The following is a 20,272-nucleotide window of genomic DNA, read 5'->3' on the forward strand; positions in this document are numbered from 1 at the left end:
CTCACTCTGTCTCCCAGGCTGAAGTGCAGTGGCAGGATCTAGGCTCACTGCAAACTCCACCTCCTGGATTCAAGTGAATCTCCCGCCCCAGCCTCCCATGTAGCTGGGATTACAGGCGCCTGCCACCATGCCAGGCAAATTTTTGAATTTTTAGTAGAGATGGGGTTTCACTATGTTGGCCAGGCTGGTCTCAATCCTGACCTTAAACGATCCGCTCGCCTTGGCCTCAGAAAGTGCTGAGATTACAGGCATGAGCCACCATGCCTAGCCCCAGATTTTTAAAAAATTTAGCCAGGCCAGGTGGCACGTGCCTGTCATCCCAACTACTTGGGAGGCTGAGGCGGGAGGATCACCTGAGCCCAGGGTAGTTGAGGCTGCAGTGAGCTGAGATTTTGCCACTGCACTCTAGTCTGAGTGACAGACCAAGACCCTGTCTCAAAACAAAACAAAACAAAACAAAACATGTATTTGAGAACCTGGGTTTCAGGACAGTTTTTTCAATTCTGGGTTTCAGTGGCTGTCACAGAAATATGGGAGGTGAACAGAAGATAGACTCAAATAGCTGGCCTTACTAAATTATCACACTCATTGTTAAATTCCATCCATCAAGTATGCAAAGGTTTCTGGTAAAATCCAGCTAGTATATTTCTATCTTCCTAGTTGTCAGTCAGTTCCTCTTTCTAACCAATGTGGAGGTGCTGCATGATTATATTTTACATGAGTGCTCACACCCACGGACTTCTATTATTTAAAACTGGACAAATTTTAAAATAGATTGTTCTGCTATTAGATTATTCTGTTGTCTAGGTTTTTGTTTTTTGTTTTATGTTTTTGTTTTTCATGTGTAGGTATAAGGGCTTATCGGTCAGCTATGTTATTGACCACAAAATCAAGTGTCATGAAAATATTTTCAAACTTCTATTCAAAAATATGCACTTTCCTTAGCATGAGTTTTCATTGAAAGATAATTACCTTCTCATTTTGTCATTGAAATGACATCTTTACCTGAAGGACACACAGGAAGTATATTTATATTTTCAATCTTTTCATGGTACGCCTAAAATGGAGAGCTTTTCAGTTCAAAGTCAGCAAACTGGATTGTAAGAAGGAGGGAGGGAGAGTTAGGAAGAAAGAGAGGGAGAACTCAGGACAGGTGGGTTCAGTACTTTGTCATTCTGCGACTCATTCTATGTGGCCAGAAAGTTTCCACCCACTCCCCTTACCAAGTATCTTAAAGTTTCTATTTATGTTTAAGTTTCTATTATGCGGCTATCTAAACTTTACAAAATCAACCCCACTGCCTTCTGCAACATCTCATGTACACGCTGGGCTTCTTTCCTGCGCTGATTAGACGGGGGGTGAGCCAATGAGTGAGGGGTAAGGGTGAACCTACCTCTGCACACTGATTTGTATCCGGAATGCTTTTTTTGAAAAAACCCTTCCTGAGTAGCTATTCCATCTGTGGTTGCATTTCCACCATTTCCTCATAACATTGTTTTTATTTAAAAAGGCATTTGCTGTTGGCAATATATCTTGTCTGCTATATCTACCTTTTAGTGGGACATGAAAAAAAATGAAAGAAGTGGTTTGTGTATTTCCCTATTGGAACAGCACCTGGCAAATACCTTCAGCTGAGCCATGTTGGGAACATCTGTGCTTTCAGCTCATTGCAAAGCAAACCTCCCACACTGGGTACTTTGCTCTAACACGAGTTTCTTCCAATCTTCGGCAGTGTTTTCTCCACATCTTCCGACGGTGTTTGCTGACAAAGAAGTCTTTCGGTTTGTCGACAGATCATTTACTGCTCATTGTTTCTGCCATTTTTCCTGCAACAGAAAGAATTAAGTTTCTCCCTGGTGGTAGGTGTTTTTAGTCTCATGGTATCATGCAAGAAACTTTAAAAGAGCTTTCCAAATATCTGTCATTGCGTATGGAAATATCAAGAAGTACTGGGTTGAACTGCACCTAAATTTAAACATTGATGGGAAAAAATTGCACTCTTTCTTCAGTTCCGGAAGCTTAGTTTGGCCAGGCACAGTGGCTCACGCCTGTAATCCCAGCACTTTGGAAGGCAGAGGCAGGTGGATCACCTGAGGTCAGGAGTTCAAGACCAGCCTGGCCAACATGGTGAAACCTTGTCTCTACTAAAAAATACAAAATTAGCCAGGCATGGTGATGCATGCCTGTAGTCCCAGCTACTTAGGAGGCTGAGGAGGGAGAATCACTTGAACCCAGGAGGCGGAGGTTGCAGTGAGCTAAGATCTTGCCACTGCACTCAAGCCTGGGCGACAGAGCGACGTTCTGTCTCAGAAAAAACAAAAAGCTTAGTTTTAGACACCTTGCCAACCATGAGGATTTCACACTGCTCATAAGTAATTAAGTAATACCTCCAGGAACAAGGCACCCGGGGCAAACTTCAGCAGTAATCAGAGTGGGGGAAATTCAAAGAGTTTTGTTTGCTGATTTTTTATTATTAGGGGTAACGTCTGGTCAGGTCCGTACCCCGGGTGACGTGCGCTCTGCCAGGAGTAATAAGGAATTCTCAGCTCCCCCTTCTGCTGTGGTTCATCTGCTCTGGATTTCTGTTGTTAGTTGCAGATTCTTTACAGGAATCTTGTGTGAGCCTCTTGGCCCTTTTGGAGGATTAGGTCGGTTAAAACTAGATCATATAAGGCTGCGCGCAGTGGCTCACGCCTGTAATCCCAGCACTTTGGGAGGCCGAGGCAGGCAGATCATGAGGTCAGGAGATCAAGACCATCCTGGCTAACACGGTGAAACCCCCGTCTCTACTAAAAATACAAAAAAAAAAAAAAAATTAGCCAGGTATGGTGGTGGGCGCCTGTAGTCCCAGCTACTCGGGAGACTGAGGCAGGAGAATGACATGAACCCGGGAGGCGGAGCTTGCAGTGAGCCGAGATCGCACCACTGCACTCCAGCCTGGGTGAAAGAGTGAGACTCCGTCTCAAAAAAAAAAAAAAAAAAAAAGAAAACTAGATCATATAATCTGTCAATCTACTTAGGCAGACACACTAATACTCCACAATTTGCTGAAAGCTTGTGATCTGGAGGGCGTACTGTGTCAACCCCTGGCCTGAGGCACCCAATTCCCTTCCTCCGGGGCACCCGGGAACCACATGGGGTGGGTGCCTGCATGAAGGGTGAAGGCACCAGCATTCAGCTCAATATTAAACATGAGCTCTTGGGTCGCTCACTGCCCAGGGCTGTGCTGAGGCATGTGATGAGCCCAGCAAACAGTAAGCACTCAGGAGGGCCTGATGTTCCTTTAACCAAACCCCAAGGTCCAGGTTAGTCTTGAGGTGCTTGCAGCCTGGGCAGGCCATTCAAATTGAGCAACTCCTTGTGAGCAGGGGCGTCTCACTCCCTGCAAAATTCAGACCCCAGATGGCACCACAAGTTCAGTCCCCACCAGATCCGAGGCCCCCTGCCCATTGAGTGCCCGTGAGCCCCTACACAGTTCCAGTGATTGGCACAGGAAGCCTCATGATCGGGGAAGAGGAGTATGCTCCCTGCAGCCTCTCAGGACTCAAGGGGGATCCCAGCTGTGCCCTTCTGCTGGGTGCTGATGTTGCATCTGATGATGCCCTGGTCCCACTGGTTCTAGGAACAGGCCTCCCCACCGGGTTAGCATCTGCATAACTGGCCTTTGCCCCCATCCCAAGGGGGTCCCAAGATGTCTACAGTGTGTGGGACTTACTATGTGGGACTTGTAATTGTACCCTCTGAGCTAAGGCGGCCCCAGGACCTACTGACTCCCTCCGACCAGAGCTTCCCCCTTTGCTACCAGGCCACACACTGGACCCCAACACCAAGAAGCAGCTGAAGTTCCTCTTGATAGAAGCTTGCCACCTAGGATGCCACCGGGCATGCATTGGCCAGAGTATGTTATGTCTTGATCACTGAAGTCAGGTCATAGAGCCTGGACTGCAGGACATTCTGTGGTTACACTATAGGGAGGGTGTGGTCAAGTGGGAGACCCACCTATATATGGACCCAATAGGTATAGAAACACACCCCAAACCCATCTGGTTCTTGCTGCGTAGATAGAAGGCAATGAGCACCTGTCGGGGGAACAACCACCTCTGTAGAAAGGTCACAGAGCCCGGACTGCAGGACATTCCTGGCAGCCCAGCCACACCCATCTCCTGACAATGCATCTTCTGTGCCACCTCTGGGCTGGGCCACCACCTTCCCGGCTACTGCCTCATGACCCTCCTCTGACACCCCAGCTCTGGGCCAGGCACCCACATGGACTTGTCCATCTCCTGCCCAGTCTTCTTGACTGAGAGCTGGATGCTGAAGCAGATGCTGTTCAAGATGTTCTTGTAATAGGTCTTCCCATGGACCTTAAACTATGAGGGGCATGGGCAGCACTCAGCCGCAGACCAGGGCAAGGCTGCAGATAGCGCCACAACCGGGCCATGCAGGCCACCTGCCCTCCCAGGTGCCATTAGCAGAGAGGCTGTGGTCAGGCTGGGCAGGCAGGGACACAGTCCCACCTCATACTCCTTGTCCACAGACCCAGTTTGAAAAGGAAGTCTGGGTAGCCGACCATCACCACCATGTACTGAAGTTGCGGGCCGGAGGGCTGGTGAGGTGGCACAGGGCCTCAGGGCACAGCATCCTTGCCCACCCCCTGCCCACCAAGGAAAGGAGCACTAGGCCAGCCTAGGAGTGGGCTTCACGGTGGGGGAGGCAGGCCTGCTCAACTCCACGAAGTCCTCTTTGTCCCTTTTATTCTCTTTCACTGGCATACAGTAGGTGCTCAGTCAATGTGCATGGGACCAACAGATGGCACTGGGGGCCCCTCACCACGGCCCCAGTAGCTGTTCTGGTCTCCATGCAGTCCAGCTCCTCCAGGCGCTGGCCCAGGATGTACTTGGTGTCTTCCACCAGCTGCCACACATGCAGGGTCAGGGGTCAGGGAGCAAGGGTCAACCCAGCAGCCTTTCACTCTGGTCCATCACTCCTGGCATGAAGGAGTCTTTCAGCACCACTTCCTAAGCCCAGAGCTCGGTGCTAGGCGCCAAGAGGACATGTTGGAGGTAGGGATCCAGACCCTTCCCCTCCGACAATAAGCTCACAGGCTAGAAGAGGAAATGGCTGCAGCAACCACCATGGGCATCCCTAAGGAGATGCCTCCTGAGCATGGCTGAGAAGGTGGGCAGGGGCCTGGCAGGGAGGGCCACCTACCGCTGACAGACCAGGAGGAGGAGGCCTGCGGAGGAGCAGACTGGAGCCTCAGAATAGGCTGAGGCCTAAGCAGGGCCTGGTCCCCCTGCCTGCAGGGGGACATTTGGGGCTCCCCATGCGAGGACCATGGCCTCGGGAGGGTTCCACCCTCAGTTCAGCACCATCCTCCCCACCCTAAACCAGGGCGGCCCACCTTGGTAGCTGACAAGTGTTCATGTACAAAGAGGGCACGAAGCGCCATGCCATAGTGGTGGTTGGCCTGGCCCAGGCTGACCCGGGCCAGTTCCTGCAGCTTGCCGCTGCCCTCCATCTCCTGTGCCAGCTTGTGCAGCACCTCATGGAATGGTAAGAACAGGTGCTCACTCAGGACCACCACCACGTCCCACACGAGGTAGTTATGCAGGACCCTGGGGGCCAGATGAAGCCAGTGGGGTGTCCAGAAAGACATTCATATGGGCCACCAAGGGCACCACCCCCGCCTGTACTACCCAGCCTGCGGCTGGACCCAGCACTCAGATAGTCCCTCAAAGAAGGGGCAGGAGGTCATCCCAGGTATGTGGAGGCTGAAATTGGAGTGTGCTGAGCTCAATGACACAGCAGGACACTCTCGCTACTGATGCCAGCCCCTGAAGCTGATGGGTCAGGGCTTCTATCATTTCCTGACTTGCCATGGGGAGACAGCGTCTGTCCTTGAGGGTGACTGTCTGACTCAGAGCTGGCTTGCAAAGGCCTCTGTTCCTCCCCATGGTGGATAGATACCACGAGGCTCTCCCAAGGGTGGCCCAGGGACAGCAGAGCTGTAGCCACACTTTCTCTTTCCAACCATCCCTAGGTGAGGAAACTGCAGCTCAGGAAGCTCCCAGCCCTGCCGAGGGCCTCGGAAAGCAGAGGGGAGAGCTAGGATCGGATACCCGGGCTCTGGGTCCTTTTTTAGTGCTGCCTCCTCTAGTGTGACTACTGGACAGAAGTAGGGGTGGAAATTCATGGCACACCCAGCCAGCAAGTCCAGGGGGCAGGGGAGGGGCCTGGGCCATACTCACATGGGGGGGGGGGGTGATCTTCTGCAGCTGTCCCAGCGTCATCTTTCTGTACATGGAGCTGACATCTCGCTGGAAATCATCATACTCTGACACAGTGATCTGGGTGGGCGTAGCAATCAGGGCTGAGCCAGCCTTGCCCCATGGTCCCCTGTCATCAGCTGCCCCCACTACAGCCACAGGGTCTCCTTAGCCTTCTGCTCCACAGCATCAGCACCCAGGAGGCTGAGCACTCGCTCCATGAACACCCTGTGTGCTGCCAGTATCTGCACCACGGGAAGGGGCTCATCCAGGGACAGGGACAGGCCTAGCCTAGGGACACCCATCCTGGGGCCCCAGGCCTTCCCTGCCTCCCCATCCCATGTCCCAGCACCTTCTCACTCTCCTCATCCTGAGCGAGGTACAGAGTCCTCTCTAGCAGATTGAGCCCATCCTGGTCAATCTAGGGAGGGAGACAGGGGCCAGAGGTCAGAGATCCACATGCCAGACTCCCCAAACAGATGGAATTTTCACCCCAATGCCCAGAGAGCGACCAGACATCCATGGGTAGAGACCCAGAAGCACGCAGACCCCAGCCCCTCTTTCCACCCAGACGAGATGACCAAAGCCCCATCCCTGACTGTCTCAGCTTACCCCTGAAAGCCTGCACTTTCCCTACCTGTCGGGGGCACTTGCGCAGTGCCGCACTGACCCTTGGGGTTCCTGGCTTTGGCGCCAGCCCCAGCCCTCACGGAGATGTCAGCCCAGCCCGCCGGCGCGTCCCTCCCTCCCTGCCCTCACTGCCTTCCAGAGGGCTGGGAAATTGCGGCTCCCGCGGCTCGGCTGAACACTTCAGTTAACCCAGGGAAATTACTTGCGCCTTCCTCCCGCGCTCTGCCGCCAAGCGCTCCCCTCCCCTGCTTTCCCTTTCTCTCCTCTTGCGCACCCTCCTCCCACGCGCAGGGACCCCTAGTCAGGGCCACGCCCCGGGTCTGCGGCCGCTGGCTGGGCGCTCGGGAATCGCACTCAGGCGGATGACGTAGCGCGAGGAGTTCCTGTAATCTAGGCTGATCTAGAGAGAGAAGAGCGCGGCGGCACTGTACACGCCCTGCACCTTGTACAGCAGCTGGTTGAGGTCCCAGCTGGTTGAGGTCCCGCGACCCCCGGACGCTCCGCCGCGCCGCCCAGGTCCCAGCCCCCGCAGTCCTCCATGACCTCTAGCATGGGCCGAGGACTCAGTAGCTCTATCTCGCGCATGTCGAGGCACGAACGGAAAAAGGCGCTCACCTTGCACTGGGCCGCGCCGCCGGGCCCATCCCTGGGCCGTGCCAGCAGGCGCCTCAGGCGCTCCTCTTTCTGCTCGCCGAAGGCCGCGATGGTGCCATAGGTGAGCTTTTCGTTGGGGGTGGCATGGCGCTTCAGTCAGCAGCCGCAGACGAAAAAGTAGAAGTTCTGGTACGAGTCCATGCTGGCGTCCAGGTTGGCTGCCAGGAGGCCGGCGGCGCGCGCTAAGGCCTTGCCCTCGGGGCAGCTCTCGGGACAGGCGCCGCCGCCCGCCGCGACCGGGCCCAGGTACTTGAGCGCCAGCATAGCCGCCAGGATGGCGCAGAGATCAGCGGCGAACACCAGCCCCGACCGCAGGCTCACCTCACGCAGGGTTCCAGCGCGGCAGCCCAGGTCCTGGTGGCGCTGCTCCTTGAGAGAAGCCTGGGCGGCAGAAAGGCCCTTGCACGATCCCCGCGCCACAGCAGCTTAGGTACTTGACCTCCTGGAACGCGTCGTAGTGCGCCGTCAGCGAATACCGGGCTCCATGGCACCGAGGCCGCCGCGATGCAGCCCTGGGCCACCTGGGCTATGGGATGCGCGCGGCCGCTGGCCTCCTAGTGGGCCTCTGCATGGCCCCGGGGGGCCAAAGCTGCGGGAAGAGCAGAGTCAGGCTCAGGAGGCGCAGCAGCCCGACGGGGCTCCCAGGCACCGCGAGGAGAGACGCAGGCCTGGGTGCAGAGGCCCCAGCTGCCGGCCTCATTCACTGCGGAAACCAGGGACGAGGAGAGTCTGGCGGGGCCACCATCCCCGCGTGCACAGTGGAGTCTTCTCCCCTGTCCTCCTCCCTGCACACACGTGTCGGATGCTGGATTGGGAGGCCTCTTATGGGAAGGGGGAGGCGCTGGGCACGGGGCCTGGCACGTAGGGGGCCTTCATTGCATCTCTCTTCCCTTCGCCTTTCTTGTCCACGACCTGTCCTAGCCAAGGCCAAGTGGGGTGGGGGAAGGAGCAGAGGCTGGAGTGAGGAGGTGCGGTCAGGGGCGCGTCTATGCGGCACTTTCAGCTCTCCGAGCTGGACACAGACAGACGCTTCGCAAAACGGCCAAAGAACCAAACTTTGTCCTCGTGGAAGTCTGCGGGATCTACCACTTCAAACCCGCTCGCTGGCTCCTTCTGCTCGGTGGCCCGACGGCCCACCCGCCCCTTCCCAAGGGGAACGCACTATTGCTCCAGGGTCGCGGATACACAACCCACCCCCTGCACGGCAGTGATGGGGAACCCGAGACCTGTCCGTCTCTATCCCCTTTCCGCTCCACTCCTGGCTTCAACAGGTTCTCCCTAGAACCCACACTTGCGCGAAGTTTCACCCACGCTGGGGCGCGAGCTGGCCGGGCGAGCCCAGAGCCATGCAGGCGCGGCGCGCAGTCCATGGAGCCTCAGAGCCGAGCCTGGGAGTCGCAGCCGGCGGATGGACGCAAACAAAGCCGGGAGGCTCCGCGCAGCGGCTACGAAGGTGACGGAAGTGGCCGCGGCTGCAGGGACTCAGGCGCCACCTACCCGGCAGGTGCGCGCCGGAGCCTGGCAGAGGCGGAGCGGGTCGGGCCGAAGCCGCTGCCTGAGCAGGAGCGAAGCGGCGCTAGCGGCCGGTGTCTCCCCGCTCCCGCTGCCTTCTCTGCCGCCGCCCCAGCCCGCCGCCCGCCTGCCTGCCTGCCCGAGGGAGAGGACGCGCCGGTGGCTCCACCCTCCTCCGCCCGTCCCGCGCTCCCTTCCTTCCTCCTGCGACCCTCTGGCTACCTGGCAGCGCGGCGGCAGCGGGGACCTGGGTCGGGGGCCGCGGAGACAGGCTTCCGAGGGTCGTGCGCGGGCTGCGGTAGGGGACTCCGGATCCAGTCGCATCCCGGGACTAGTGAGGGTAGCGGGTACACCCGGCAGGAGTCCCCTCCGATCCCGTGTCCCCACTCGGAACCGCCCACCAACCGGTTGGAAAGGAGCTGGAGCTACGCAGCTGGGGGCCGTCATGGTCCAGCCCACAGCCCTGGAGCACCACCCAGGGAGGACTCCTCCTAAGGATTGAGAGGGCGCTGACGGAGTGCCTGGGCTGCCCGCACAGCGCCTGCGCAGAGCTCACCTTCACCAGGGAGCTTCCTTTACCTCCTCGGAACCCCTGTCCGGGATCAGCTCTCCCCGGGGTGTCTGGGCTTCTGGTTGTCTCGCCCCCTTCCCCCAGCCTCTGATCCACGGAGAGCAACGCAGAGCCCTGCCAGAAGCAGGCCTGGGGCTGTGAGTGTGGCCCCCATGGTCCCAATAGGCGGTTGTCCCAGAGAACAGCAATCACTGCCTATAGGAGGTGACGTGGGTTTAGCCTCTGACCACACAGTCCTGGTCACCCTGCACAGACTGTCAATAAAGAAGGGTCTGAGGCCCAGCTCCTTGGCTCCTCTGCAGTTTCCCCAAAAGGGAAGCTGAGGCTGTGGGTGAGTGGGTGATGTCCGTGGTCCAGGCTCCAGTTCCCTCACTGTGGGGTCTTCCCCTACCCCTGTGATATGGTTTGGCTCTGTATTCCCACCCAAATCTCACCTCGAATTGTAATCCCCATAATCCCCACGTGTCAAGGGCGAGACCAGGTGGAGGTAATTGAATCATGGGGCTGGTTCCGCACGTGCTGTTCTTGTGCGAATGAGTGAGTCTCGCCAGATCTGATGGTTTTATAAGCGTCTGACATTTCCCGTTTGCGCGCATTCTCTCTCCTGTCGCCATGCGAGAAGGTGCTTTCCACCATGATTGTCAGTTTCCTGAGGGCTCCCCAGCTATGAGGAAATGTGAGTCAATTAAACCTCTTTTCTTTATAATTTACCCAGTCTCAGGTATTTCTTCATAGGAGGGTGAGAACGGACTAATACACCCTGATTGCCCAGGTGACCCCATGACTCATATGCAAGAGCATGGCAGACCACAGCAGTGCCCAGCGACACCCAGTGAAGCCCTGAGTGACGCAGCTGGATACCTGATGTGAGGGTGAGCGGGTGGGTAGAGTAGCCAGAGCTGCCTTGGAGAGAGAAGGCCCGAGGGGGTGCCGGGCACAGACCAGGCACAGACCGTGAGGGCTTCAGAATCTGACTCGCTGCCTACCCCCTGACTAACGACAGATCCCAGTCATCCAGCCTATGCACCTCGTCAGAATCAAAACAGAGTTCCTTTTGTTAAAAATCCTGAGAAGTAAAGCCAGGAACATGAAGGGGATTTATCATGCACAAAACCTGATATCAAGAACTATCACAGAAGACTGCAAACAACCAGCTTGCATAATGGCCTTCACAACCTTTCACCAAAAAATACTTCTGCAAGGACATCTGCCCAGCACCTGCCTGTCCATCCTCAAACTGGTGCCACTCATATCCTTGATCCTTGTAGCCAAGGATGAATATCTCAAAACAATCCTGTGATCCTCCTCCTTTTTTCTTTAAAAACCTTTGTCTTCCTTCACCTTTCTAAATTCACACATAGTTTCCTCTGGCCTGCTTATTCCCATTGCAGTACCTATTTCCAAAGAAAGTTCATTTTATTTTAGGGTCTTCCTGTATCTGTTATGCAATGTCACATAGTGGTGTCAGAAGTGGGACTGAAGTGAACTCATCTTGGATGAATCAGTGTCTCCTGGAATCTAACACTGCATTGACTGAGCCCTCTGCAGACTGCCTTTCCAGGAGTTGCTTTTCTGTTCTTGTGGGGAAAAGAAAGAGAGATCAGATTGTTACTGTGTCTGCGTAGAAAGAAGTAGCCATAGGAGACTCCATTTTGTTCTGTACTAAGAAAAATTCTTCTGCCTTGAGATGCTGTTAATCTGTAACCCTACCCCCAACCCTGTGCTCCCTGAAACACGTGCTGTGTCACCTCAGGGTTAAATGGATTAAGGGCTGTGCAGGATGTGCTTTGTTAAACAAATGCTTGAAGGCAGCATGCTTGTTAAGAGTCATCACCACTCCCTAATCTCAAGCCACTCCCTAATCTCAAGTACCCAGAGACACATGCGGAAGACTGCAGGGACCACTGCCTAGGAAAGCCAGGTATTGTCCAAGGTTTCTCCCCATGTGATAGTCTGAAATATGGCCTCATGGGAAGGGAAAGACCTGACCGTCCCCCAGCCCGACACCTGTAAAGGGTCTGTGCTGAGGAGGATTAGTAAAAGAGGAAGGAACGCCTCTTTGCAGTTGAGGTAAGAGGAAGGCTTCTGTCTCCTGCTCGTCCCTGGGCGATGGAATGTCTCAGTGTAAAGCCGATTGTATATCCATCTACTGAGATAGGGGAAAACCGCCTTAGGGCTGTAGGTGGGACATGCTGGCAGCAATACTGCTCCTTAAGGCATTGAGATGTTTATGTATATGCACAACAAAAGCACAGCACTTAATTCTTTACCTTGTTTATGATGCAGAGACCTTTGTTCACGTGTTTACCTGCTGACCTTCTCTCCACTATTATCCTATGACCCTGCCACATCCCCCTCTCCAAGAAACACCCAATAATGATCAATAAATACTAAGGGAACTCAGAGGCCGGTGGGATCCTCCATATGCTGAACGCCGGTTCCCTGGGCCCCCTTTTGTCTTTCTCTATACTTTGTGTCTCTTTCTTTTCCAAGTCTCTCGTTCCACCTAACGAGAAACACCCACAGGTGTGGAGGGGCAACCCACCCCTTCATGTTCTGGTGAATCTCCTCGAATACTCAGACTCCCTCCCTTTAGTCAGTTCCTTTTTACTTTATCCTGGATCTTTTTTGGTTATAAGCCTCCCTTAAACAAAGGACCTTGCATCCTTCTTGGGAGTATAGAGGTTGGAGTTTTGTTTTTGGTTGGGGTGTGTGTGTGTGAGGCAGTCTTGCTCGGTCACCCAACAGAGTCCTGCTCTGTTGCCCAGGCTGGAGTGCTTGGCAGGATCACGGCTCACTGCAACCTCTTCCTCCCAGGTTCAAGCGATTCTTGTGCCTCAGCCTCCCTAGTAGCTGAGACTACAAGCGTGCACCACCATGTCCGGCTAATTTTTGTATTCTGGTAGAGACTGGATTGCACCACGTTGGCCAGGCTGATCTTGAACTCTTGACCTCAAGTGATCTGCCCACCTCGCCTCCCAAAGTGATGGGATTACATGGGTGAGCCACTGTGCCCAGCCAGTTTTGTTTTTTTATTTGCTTCTTTGCTTTTAGCAAGCACTTTCTGGTATAAACAGAAGTGCCCTTCTGGTTTGAGGGCTCTGGTTTCTACAGAATTTATTTTCTGTCTAGGCGGCAAGACTTTTCTGGTGAATTCACTTTTGTTTCTGCATGCCTGGCTGAATATTTTGTTTGATGTGCACACCTTGGTTGAAATTTTGTGAGCACTCTGATTTTGGTTTGGTTTCCCACGTCTGTAAATGATTTGGTTCATTTTTTTTCATGCTTGTGAACATCTTCTGATCATCTGATAGCAAAAATAAACATAAATGATTTGGTACCATAGGAAACATTTAAAAATAAATAAATAAATAAATGTCGAGTGCAGGCCTGGCACAATGGCTCCCGCCTATAATCCCAGCACTTTGGAAGGCCAAGGTGGGAGGATGGCTTGAGCTCAGGAGTTCAAGACCAGCCTGGGCAACATTACAAAACCCTGTCTCTACAAAAAATACAAAGATTAGCCAGTCATGTTGGTCCATGCCTGTAGGCCCAGCTACTAGGGAGGCCGAGGTAGGGGGCATTGCTTGAGCTCAGGAGGCTGAGGCATAAGAATTGCTTGAATCTGAGAGGTGGAGGTCATATTGAGCTGTGATCACACCACTGCACTCCAGCCTGGTTGACAGAATGAGACCCTGTCTCAACAACGACAACAACAAAACAATTTAAAAAGATGGGTATGAGATAGCCAATTAAAAGAAACTAGGGCATCACTACCTCTAAATACTTGTGCAAACTCCAGGATTTATAGGATTTTCTTTGCTCTCGAGATTAATAAGAAAGGGAATGGCATTCTCAAACATTAACAGCCAGCTACATGGCTTTTCCTCATGTACATTTTAAAATCAGTGGCACGATAGGAATCATTTGAACTCCCCAAGTTTGTTTTTTCCTTATACTGAATTTTAAAATTGCCAACTACAGAGTTAAATGGAGAGCCTTCTAAGTTCTCTACTTCTCTCTCTCTTTTTTCTGCCTACTTGAAATCTGCTGACATTTCTGCTGGTATTAAGATAAACCCACAATATCACATTCCAGCCAAGATAAAAACCAATAAGGAAGAGGTCTTAAAAGGTTTTCAAATTAATGGTTCTACAAATTACAACAGCTCCATGGCCAACCCACAACCTAGACGCCTTTTGGAAATGTAAATTTAGGTTTACCTGTCTAACAGTTGCTTTGGGTGATGGACCAGTCCATGGAAGGACTGCTATTAGAAAGAATAGAATGAGAGAAATGTTTATAAAAATTAGGCTCTCAGATCAAAGAGGTCAAAATTGTGAGCTCAGAGCAATAATAAAAAGGATTTCTGCCCAGCATAAAAATTGCTTTGTCTGCTACACAGGGCCAGAAGAACTAAAAAAAAAAAACCTGCTAAAATGCTTCCCTACCTGCGTGGAACTGTCAAGCAAATAAGAGTGGCAAACAAAAGCAATTAGTTATGGACTTCAAAACTGCTTGGTGATTTTCTTTCTCTAATAAAATCCAGGCAGTCCTAGTTAAAATATAAACATTTAATATTTAACCCCTAAACTCATTTGAAACTGAAAAAGGGAAAAGGTACGATCGAAGAAATAAAAATTAAAGACAAACAAAAAAGAAAACCAAACTGCTTTACCCAAAATTTTGGTTCACAGCCCTCATAAGATTGCTCATAAAGACAAATGCAAATCTTAAAGTTTAGCTTTGAGACCTCTCCCATTTTCTCAGAAATCTCATTTGGATCCTACTGTGTCTTATAAACCTGTGAGTCTGTATTAGTATGTTTTGCTGTCTCATGACCGAAACGCTCAAATTAAAGCCATAAGGTCTTATTTGTGTGTATCTATGTTTATGTATGTTTTTGCATGTTGTATGTTATGTCTCCAATTTGAAATCTGGCACAATAGGCCAGAAATTCCTTAAGGAATTCTATTCAGTTTAACTTAGATTAATTAAACTTGTTAAAATATATAGTGAGCAGGGCATGGTGGAGCATGCCTGTATTCCCAGCTACTCAGGGGGCTAAGGCAGAAGGATTACTTGAGCCCAGGAGTTCAAGGACAGCCTGAGTGACATAGCAAGACCCCATCTCTAAAAAAAATATGTATATAGGCTGGGTGCGGTGTCAAACATCTTTAGTCCCACCACTTGGGGAGGCTGAGGTCGGTGGACTGCTTGAGCCCAGTAGCTGGAGTTCGAGATAAGCCTGGGCAACATGGCAAAACCCCATCTCTATAAAAAAAATACAAGAATTAGCCAGGCATGGTGGTGTGTGCCTGTAGTCCCAGCTACTAGGGAGGCTGAGGCAGGAGAATCACTTTAACTTGGAAAGTAGAAGCTTCCATGGGCTGTGATTGTACCACTGCACTCCAGCCCGGGTGACAGAGTGAGACCCCATCTCAAAAAAAAAAAAAAAAAAAAAAATATATATATATATATATATATATATATATATGCACACACACCTGTGTAGATACATACATATATAAATACATGTATACATATTACATATACATACATATATAACATAGTAATTAACCCAAATACCTTTTAGTTCATGCGATTTAACTACATCTTTGATAAATAAGCTGGTTTTAAATTTGTTGATAAAATAAAAATAGAAATATCTTTAGCATTTTCTTTTCTTTCTTCATTTCTTCCCTCTCTCTTCCTCCCTCCCTCCCTCCCTTCCTTCCTTCTTTTTTTTTTTTTTTTTTTTTTTTTTTTTTTTTTTTTTCTCTCTCAGAGCCTCTCTCTATCACCCAGGCTGGAGTGCAGTGGTGCAATCTCAGCTCACTGCAACCTCCACCTCCCAGGTTCAGGTGGTTCTCATGCCTCAACCTCCTGAGTAGATGGTACTATAGGTGCTCATCACCACTCCTAGCTAATTTTTTTTGTATTTTTAGTAAAGAATGGGTTTTGCCATGTTGGCCAGGCTGGTCTCAAACTTCTGGCCTCAAGACAAAAAACATTAAAATTAAAATTAAAATTAATTTAATCAAATGCCTGGCCTCAAGTGATCCACCCGCCTCGGCCTCCCAGAGTGCTGGGATTACAGGCGTGAGCCACCACGCACGTCCATCTTTAGCATTTGCAGTGTACATTTTCCCCTCGGTTTGTGGGTCAGTTAGGATCATACGTGTCTCTGCTAGATGCTTCAAGGTCCTAAAACTGTATTTTATTTTTTATTTTTTGTGAGACGGAGTCTCACTCTGTCACCCAGGCTGGAGTGCAGTGGTGTAATCTCAGCTCACTGCAACCTCCACCTCCAGGGTTCAAGTGATTTTCCTGCCTCAGCGTCCTGAGTAGCTGGGATTACAGACATGTGCCATCATGCCCTGCTAATTTTTGCATTTTTATTAGCGACGGGGTTTCACCATGTTAGCCAGGCCGGTCTCGAACTCCTGACCTCAAGTGATCTGCCCACCTCGGCCTCCCAAAGTGCTCAGATTACAGGCGTGAGCCACTGCGCCTGGCCTAAGGTCATAGAAAAACTTTAAACCCAACCTAAAAACAGTGATCTTTGTTTGTGTAGTTCTTTGATAAATAAAACTAATTTAGTATTGCTGGTTTAATGTAAACAGCTCTGTCTTAGGAGTTACTGGCAAAATATCCATGTATTTAACTTTAAGCTTCTTAAGTGAACACCTGAGAGTCACAGGCTATGAAAATAGTGAACAAGAAAATACCCGGAAATGAGTACTAGCTTTGTGTAATATCTCAGTATTCATAATTAGTGGAGGTATAATTGTTAAAAATATAAATTAGGTAAATGTAAATAGGATGAATGTCTATAAATGAGCTTTTCATAGAATTTGAAATCTTTTTTTCTTTTTTTTTGAGACAGAGTCTCCTCTGTCGCCCAGGCTGGAGTGCAGTGGTGTGATCTCGGCTCACTGCAATCTCCACCTCCCGCGTTCAAATGATTCTCATGCCTCAGCCTCTTGAGTAGCTGGGATTACAGGCATGCGCCACCACACGCAGCTACTTTTTGTATTATTGGTAGAGACGGGGTTTCACCATGTTGGCCAGGCTGCTCTCGAACTCCTGGTCTCAAGCAGTCCTCCACCTCAGCCTCCCAAAGTGCTGGGATTACAGGCATGAGCCACTGTGCCTGGCCAGACTTTGAAATCTTAAAGTCATGTTATGCTACCTTAACTGACAGATACTCATTAAATATATTGGTCATTTCCAAGTAAGAGAAAACACAAAAACATAAATTGCTGAACACAAATATGTTTGTTTTTGGCTTCTTCTTTTTTTTTTTTTTCTGAGACCAAGTCTTGCTCTGTCGCCCAGGCTGGAGTGCAGTGGCGCGATCTTGGCTCACTGCAAGCTCTGCCTCCCGGGTTCGCGCCATTCTCCTGCCTCAGTCTCCGGAGTAGCTGGGACTACAGGTGCCCGTCACCACACCCGGCTAATTTTTTGTATTTTTAGTAGAAACAGGGTTTCACCATGTTAGTCAGGATGGTCTCAATCTCCTGACCTCGTGATCCACCTGCCTCGGCCTCCCAAAGTGCTGGGATTACAGGCGTGAGCCACCATTGGCTTCTTCAGTTTTATGGAACTACCAAATTTATAGGGGTTAATACACATAAAAATTATGCAATGGGGAAACATGTTTCTAAAATTATAAATGGTTCCCATCTGTAAAATACTAATATGTGACAGTCATTTAAACATTTTTTGCTTCCTAGGTTTTCACTACAAATTAAGGTTGCTAAGAATTAAAAATTCTAATTAATTTATACAATTCTGTAGACAAAGTGTACAGAATATGTATGTTTGATGAGAAAAACTATTTAAAATGTGTAAAAACATGTTTTTGTTTTATTTGAGTTTTTTGTATATTTAAAAATTATTTTAACTTTTTTTTAATTAAAAAAAAAATAGAAATAGGATCCTGCTACGCTGCCCAGCCTGGTCTCGAATTTCTAGGCTCAAGTGGTCACCTCCCAAAGTGTTGAGATTGCAGGTGTGATCCACTCCACCTGGCCAAAATGTGTTTTCATAAATCCAAAATATGGATTTATGAAAGAAATAAAAACAGGATAGAAAGGAACCCGTAAGTAGGACAGAAATGTGAAGAAAGGTATGAAGATATATTTTTGATAAGTACAGTTAAAAGAAAAAAGAATAATTTGGAATGAGAAAGGATCTTGTAAGTTTTTGTGTCCTAAAGTAAAATGACTTGTTAGCTAAGAAAGGGGAAGTTTAGGTTAAAGCAGAGGCCTAAGCATGTCATAGAAGTGCTAAGTCATGAAAGGTGTGTGCGGTGAGCCCAGATCGTGCCACTGCACTCCAGCCTGGGCAACAGAGAGAGACTCTGTCTCAAAAAAAAAAAAAAAAAAAGGAAATGCTTGAGGTATTTCTATTTTATCAACCAATTTAAAACCAGCTTATTTATCAGAGATGTAGTTAAATCACATGAACTAAAAGGTATTTGGTTCATTACTATGTATATATGTATGTATATGTATAAAACAGAGCTGCTTTCAATAAACCAGCAATACTCAACTAGTTTTATTTATCAAAGAACTACATGAACAAAGATTACTGTTTTTAGGTTGGGTTTATAGTTTTATGACCTTGAAACATCTAGCAGAGACACATATAATGTCTTCCCATTTTTTTGGGAAGGATGAATTTGGGAAAGGAATTTTTGTATGTGATCAAGTTGGCTAAAATTAGAAGGAAATTATTCACGAGTCTTTCTAAAGATGGAGCTTTCATATTAAAACTACACTGGTATTCTCATCTGAAGGCTCTAGGAGAAGTAAAAAACAAACAAAACAAACCTACGCTGATTTAAAAACTAAAAATTTGGTCCCCTATGTTAGTACCACAAGATATCCTTGAAATATAGATCTGCTTTTATTTTTATTTATTTATTTTTGAGACAGAGTCTTGCTCTGTTGCCCAGGCTGGAGTGCAGTGGCGCAATCTCAGCTCACTGCAAACTCTGCCTCCCGGTTCCAGTGATTCTCCTGCCTCAGCCTCGGGTAGCTGGGATTACAGGCACGTGCCACCACACGCAGCTAATTTTTGTGTTTTTGGTGGAGATGGGGTTTCACCATGTTGGCCAGGCTGGTCTCGAACTCCTGAGCTCAGGTGATCTGCCTGCCTCAGTCTCCCACAGTGCTGGGATTACAGGTAGGAGCCACCGCGCCCAGTCTAAATCTGCTTTTAGTAAATCCACAAGAAGCATTAATTTTTACTTCTGTGTTTAACAGCCATCTAAACTGAAGCTTTCATTTTTTTTTTTTTTTTCCTGAGACAGGGTCTTGGTCTGTCATCCAGGCAAGAGTGGATCCCTCCAAAATTCAGACACTATTCATGAGTATTCTTATGACAACATGGTTATTTGAAGTTTAAGAATTTGCTCTCTTTTTATATAGGATACAATTGGAAACATTGGCTATATTACCAAAGCTTTGATTGCAATATATTTGTGAATATGCATAGAATGCCTGGCTTCTGGGGTTCCCAGCCTTACAGTGAGCAACTAAAAATTGTCACTTCCTGGCAGGCCCAGGAAACTTCAGACTGCAGAAAAAAATCTAAAGTCTGTCTTGGTTTGGCTTCCTAGCCTCAAGAGGTTTGATAATCTGAGATTCCTGTTTTGTTTTGTTTTTTTTCAGACAAGGTCTGTAATCCCAAAGTGCTGGGATTACAGGCGTGAGCCACTGCGCCCAGCCTTCTGTGGAATTCTTAAAAATGGGACCCGCCTTTGGGAGGCCAAGGTGGGTGGATCACCTGCGGTCAGGAGATCGAGACCAGCCTGGCTAACACAGTGAAACCCCGTCTCTACTAAAAATACAAAAAATTAGCCGGGCGTGGTGGCGGGCGCTTGTAATCCCAGCTACTCGGGAGGCTGAGAAAGGAGAATTGCTTGAACCCAGGAGGCAGAGGTTGCAGTGAGCCGAGATCGTGCCACTGCCCTCCAGCCTGGGCAACAAAGAGTGAAACACGGTCTCAAAAAAAAATAAAAGGGGACCCGCTTTGTTCCTAAAGAGAGGGAACCCCACAGGGCAGGGCTAGGAGACAGTGACATGGACAGGGACTGCAGGATCAAGGCTCATGGAGTGTTTGGGGCCACTGGGACACCTGGGAACAGGGCCCCATGGAGGCCAGTGGAATCCCAGAGCAGGGAGTGAGTCCTCTCCCCCAACACCTGCTGAGTGACCCTGCTGGAGCCCTTCTTGTCTCTGGGCCTCAGTTTTCTCATCTGTAACATGGGAATAATAACAGGACCAACCAACCTCTTAGGGCTGTTGCAGGGTTTGTATAAGGCCATGCTGTGAAAATCCCAAGTGGCAGCAAGTCTGGCACAGAGCAGGGCCTCAGCCCCCGCCCCCTGTGCATACACACAAACAGATGCATATACACATGCACACACACATGCATACACACACGTGCATGCACACATGCACACAGATATGCACACATGCACACAGATATGCACACACACATGCATATACATGTGTATACACACATGTGCACACCCAAAACACACAGGGCTCGCTCCTCAAGGGGACCTCACTGTGCCTCAGTTTGCCCATCTGTAAAGGGGGTGATTATAGCCCCTACTGCA

The 20,272-nt window shown here is 49.7% G+C and overlaps 1 pseudogene, besides 4 other annotated features; it reads right to left on the reverse strand.

Annotated features, from left to right (window-relative positions):
* Positions 4,248-8,134, reverse strand: ECEL1P1 (endothelin converting enzyme like 1 pseudogene 1; annotated as a pseudogene).
* Positions 6,501-7,284: an enhancer, noted in NCBI's record as "H3K27ac-H3K4me1 hESC enhancer chr2:233282988-233283771 (GRCh37/hg19 assembly coordinates)". NCBI's record gives its function as "activates a minimal SCP1, AML or CMV promoter by ChIP-STARR-seq in naive H9 embryonic stem cells {active_cell/tissue: H9 hESC(naive)}" and the evidence as "EXISTENCE:reporter gene assay evidence [ECO:0000049][PMID:30033119]".
* Positions 8,068-8,851: an enhancer, noted in NCBI's record as "H3K27ac-H3K4me1 hESC enhancer chr2:233284555-233285338 (GRCh37/hg19 assembly coordinates)". NCBI's record gives its function as "activates a minimal SCP1, AML or CMV promoter by ChIP-STARR-seq in naive H9 embryonic stem cells {active_cell/tissue: H9 hESC(naive)}" and the evidence as "EXISTENCE:reporter gene assay evidence [ECO:0000049][PMID:30033119]".
* Positions 11,114-11,881: an enhancer, noted in NCBI's record as "OCT4-NANOG-H3K27ac hESC enhancer chr2:233287601-233288368 (GRCh37/hg19 assembly coordinates)". NCBI's record gives its function as "activates a minimal SCP1, AML or CMV promoter by ChIP-STARR-seq in naive and primed H9 embryonic stem cells {active_cell/tissue: H9 hESC(naive and primed)}" and the evidence as "EXISTENCE:reporter gene assay evidence [ECO:0000049][PMID:30033119]".
* Positions 11,882-12,649: an enhancer, noted in NCBI's record as "OCT4-NANOG-H3K27ac hESC enhancer chr2:233288369-233289136 (GRCh37/hg19 assembly coordinates)". NCBI's record gives its function as "activates a minimal SCP1, AML or CMV promoter by ChIP-STARR-seq in naive H9 embryonic stem cells {active_cell/tissue: H9 hESC(naive)}" and the evidence as "EXISTENCE:reporter gene assay evidence [ECO:0000049][PMID:30033119]".

Source organism: Homo sapiens, chromosome 2, assembly GCF_000001405.40.
Source record: "Homo sapiens chromosome 2, GRCh38.p14 Primary Assembly".
In the NCBI taxonomy this organism is placed as follows: Eukaryota; Metazoa; Chordata; class Mammalia; order Primates; family Hominidae; genus Homo; species Homo sapiens.